General features: G+C 46.6%; 1 annotated feature.

Annotated features, from left to right (window-relative positions):
* Positions 2181 to 2762: an enhancer, noted in NCBI's record as "H3K27ac hESC enhancer chr4:108300461-108301042 (GRCh37/hg19 assembly coordinates)". NCBI's record gives its function as "activates a minimal SCP1, AML or CMV promoter by ChIP-STARR-seq in primed H9 embryonic stem cells {active_cell/tissue: H9 hESC(primed)}" and the evidence as "EXISTENCE:reporter gene assay evidence [ECO:0000049][PMID:30033119]".

The following is a 4295-nucleotide window of genomic DNA, read 5'->3' as shown; positions in this document are numbered from 1 at the left end:
GAGTTTGGGGTACTGATTCTTGAATTCCTTTTATTATCATCTCCCTTAGGTCCTGCATATTTTCCCAGTGATTTGCATTGTTACTGTCCCAATGGGGGTCTTGAGTGGGAAATTTATAGCCCACAGAAAGAACATTTTGACCAGGAGGGTGCTCACGTTCCCAAAGTGCCATAGCAGCCCTCCGAATCATACTTCATTCTTCCTCAGAAAAGAGGATGCCCAAGATGGACATCAACTCAGCCCAAGAGTATATGTGAGGCCCTAGAAATTGATGAGTTTGATCTGCTACTTCATAAGGGTCATCCAGTAGTGGCTTAGGCTCTTTTTAAAATACCTGACTTCCGAACTAGTCAAGGGGGCGTTCACAAAGCCAATAGCCCCCCGCCCCATCCTTGTGGTACCTCTCTTAGTGGAAAGAGTCAGATCTGGCTCTCTAGGTGTGGAGAGAAATGGAAAGTTTTTAATATCCTTTTTACATTGCTCTATCTCACGTTGAAGCTCCTTTAATGAGGGATACTTAATAGGTTGGTGGGGGCAGGCTCACAAGATGGTTATTCCGCAAAGTCGGGATTATAGGGAGGAGGAGCAATATGAGTAGAGGCACCACAAGTGGGTGAGGGATCCATAGCAGCAGCTGGGGGAATAGAACACCGGCAAGTAACACAAGTAAGGCAGTGGCCTGAAACGGCTAGGGAGTAACCCAAAACCACAGCCGGAGGGAAGGCACAGGCTGGGGAGTGGCCTGGAACAGAAACCGGGGGAGCGGGATCGGAAAAGCTGGAAGAGGGATGCAAGCACGGGAAGTACCTGAAATGGGAACCGGAGGGGCGGGATCAGGGACAGCAGGAAGAGGAAGCAGGGGAGGGACCTGAAACGGAAACCAGAGGAGCGGGATCGGGGGCACTGAATGGAGGAAGATGATCTAGACCCACGTGTTAGTGGGTGTGGGTTGTCTAGACACCGGTCTTTCCCTTCTAGAGAGGTTGGTTTTTGGCTTTCTCCCTCTAGATTCTAAAGAGTAAAGGAGGACAGGCCCCTGCTGCCAACAGAGGGCGTAAACGATTTCTTCCTGGGAGACAGGACTCTTATCCTTAACACGCTCGATTAAGAGCTGACAAATCTGCTCCTCATTAGACCCAAATTTTGGCCAGAAATGTGAGGGTTTAAGGATGGGTTCTCGAACCCAAATAAAACAACAACATTTTATCATCTACTGTTTTCGTTTATACTTGGTTCTCTCTTTATCTTTCCAGTACTTCAGCATAAGCCCCAAGGGGCTATCAGAAGTAATTTCATCACTTTCTAGACTCTTTAGTTTTCCTGTCTTACTTGAAACATTCCCCATCTTAGAGGTTATTGGTGGGGAGGGGCTACAACCTCTCCTGTTAGAGGTGTCTACCCCCCTCTTTCTGGAGGCTCACTGCAGCTTTTAAGAAGGGGTCCAACCTCTCGTGTTAGAGGTGTCTCACCTCCCCCTTTCTGGAGGCTTACTGAGGCTTTTAAGAGGGAGTCCAACCTCTGGTATTAGAGGTGTCTCACCTCTCTCTTTCTGGAGGCTTAACCTCTCCCATTAGGGGTTTCCTGCATATCCTATAGCTCATCCCTCTGGAAGTTCCTTGCATCTTTCTTTCTCTTTGTCTACTCTGATTGTTCCTGCCCATAGTTGATAGATGGCAGCACAAAACCGCAGAGAAGACTCACTCCACACAACCATAATGCTTAGCCCCATTTACACACTCTCAACCTCCAAATTATCCCAATCACCAAGGAAATACTTTGTCGCCTTTGCAAAGTCTCCTGCCTTATTCTGTGCACAAGAATTACCTGGTCCTCTTATTGCCTCGGTCTTACAAGCATCTCCTCCCCGCTTTGCTGAGAATCCAGATTTATTCGTCACAACGGGTGGGGCCTGATCTCCCTCACCCTTGGGCCACCATAACTATAGACAGTGGGATGCATCTCCCCTGGGTGGGGTGACCGAAGACCCCCTTCCCGAAGTAGAATATTCAAGCCCCAAAGTTGGGCACCAGAATTGTTGGGAATAACACTCAAAATCCTAAGGAGATTGAACACTCAAAGGATTCTAAGCAAAGCAATTTTACTTCTGTGCAGAGGGGTGCTTCTCCTTGGCCAGTCACCATGAGAGCACACCTGAACAAAGGGGCACAAGAGCCTTTATTCCTGATGCAAGTCCTGCCCTTGCACCCTTTCCCCACTGGCCAGGGTCAGGTCGCACAATCTGAACTAATCCCGGTTGGCTAGACATTTGAACTTTCTTTAGATAAGGTGGGCACGTAAGGGAGAGAGGGGAAAAGGGGAAGGGGTGTCTGCAATGAGCTACAGAGCTAGTCTTCTTTCCAAATAAGGAAAGGAATGTGAGCAGTATGGATAAGCCTGGTACTGTGGCATGTCCAGGCATGTAACAAAGGCAGAAAGGAGAAAAAGAAAAATGAGGTGGGGTGGGGGGTACTGTGAATTAAAGAATAAAAGATTGATCAGGCTATTTGGAGAGAAACCTCATCATATCCCACAATTGGTCACAAGCAAGAATTGCTGATATCTAAGTCCTTTACTCTGCCATTTCAAAAAGGTCTTGAGATTTTTGTAGAATTTAACCAGCAGATGGAGCATGAAAACCTATTTAATAACTACTTCCATTGGGTTACATGGAATACTTTCTGCCTTATAGTCTTATAGATTTGGAAGCTGTCTTGGGTTTAACCCTTGTCAGAGTTAGCACTAGAGTCCAGGTCTTAAGACTTCCTGCATTTCCCCCTACACCACCTGCCTCTGATGGAATCACTAGATGTTGCTCGTCCCAAGGGCATTAAACTCAATTCATTTCAATTAGTCATTCAGTTTCCATTGTGTTGCACTCATACAAAGATCATTAAAACAATCCCTGTCCTACAAGAGCTTATGTTCTAATTGAGGAGACAGGTAAGTAACCAGCAATTTCAAGATAGTACGCTAAGGGCCAAGACACCCCAGAACTCAGGGCTGTGATACTGATATGGGAAGGGGACAGGAAAGTGCTGGGCAGAGAAGCACAGGGTCCCTGGCAAGGGTTCCATCCTCGGGCCTGTGCCCATGGACCTAAGTGACGACAGGCACTCCTGTTTTCATGCCCAAATGTTGCATTTTCCAAGACCACTCTGGCTCACCCTGCCCTTCATCCTGTGTCTATAGAAACCCCGAGACCCTAGCAGGCACAGACACAAATGGATGGACATAAAGCGAAACACACCGGCAGAAGAACACACAGACAGACACTGGCAGTACACTGATGGCAGAACAACATGGATGCCGATGGGAATTCAGCAGAGGGTGGTTGGAGGAGATCCTGGCTGCTGAGTGACACCACTCCAGGGGGAACCACTTTCCCACTCCATCCCCCTACTGTCTCCCCATCTATCTGCTGAGGGCTACTTCTACCACTCAATAAAACCTTGCACTCATTCTCCAAGCCCCCAATGTGATCTGATTTTTTTGGAACACTAGGGTAAGGACCCCATGATACAGAAAGCCTCTGTCCTTGCTGTAAGGCAGAGGGTCTAATTGAGCTAATTAAATCAAGCTGCCTGTGGACAGCTAAGCTGAAAGAGCACACTGTATGTAACACATGGCTACTGGGGCTTCCAGAGCTGTAAACACTCAACCCTAGACGCTGCCATGGGGTCAGAGCCCACGCTCCCAGTGGGGGAGGTGGCAGAAGGTGGTGTCAGGGAGCAATTCAGGTAGTAGATACATTGTACATTGAGACTGAATGAATTAGCAGGAATTATCCAGGCAGAGAAGAGTTTGGGTGATAGAAGGACATTCCTAAAAGAGGGAAAACTTGAGGAAAGGTGTAAAGGAGAGAAACCACCTGATGTATATGGGAACGAATAGTTCCTGGTTTATTTCTAGAGCTCAAAAGAAAAATTAAAGTCTCAAATTTACTGAATATAGCTTATACTGTCACTATTAGAGGACAGCTAGCCCTATAATCACCTCATAGCGGTTTGGAGACTTCTTTGTCAGGAGCATATTCAGTCAAGAAATAGGTTTTGAAAACCTATGTGCCAAGCACTGTTCTAAGTGCTGGGAATACAACAATAAAAAACAAAGATAAAATCCCTGTCTCACATGGAACTTACATAGCAAATGAGAAATTACAGAGTAAAAAGGGCTTTGAAGAAAAATAAACTAAGGTAAGGGGAGAGACAGTGCTGAGGTAAAGAGAAGTATAATCTTAAGTAAGGTAATTAAGGGAGACCTTGCTGAAAAGGAAAGACCTGGAGAGATGAGTTGTC

This window comes from Homo sapiens, chromosome 4 (genome assembly GCF_000001405.40).
Source record: "Homo sapiens chromosome 4, GRCh38.p14 Primary Assembly".
In the NCBI taxonomy this organism is placed as follows: Eukaryota; Metazoa; Chordata; class Mammalia; order Primates; family Hominidae; genus Homo; species Homo sapiens.
Note: the sequence above shows the minus strand (reverse complement) of the source record. Positions and strands in the feature narration are given on the sequence as shown.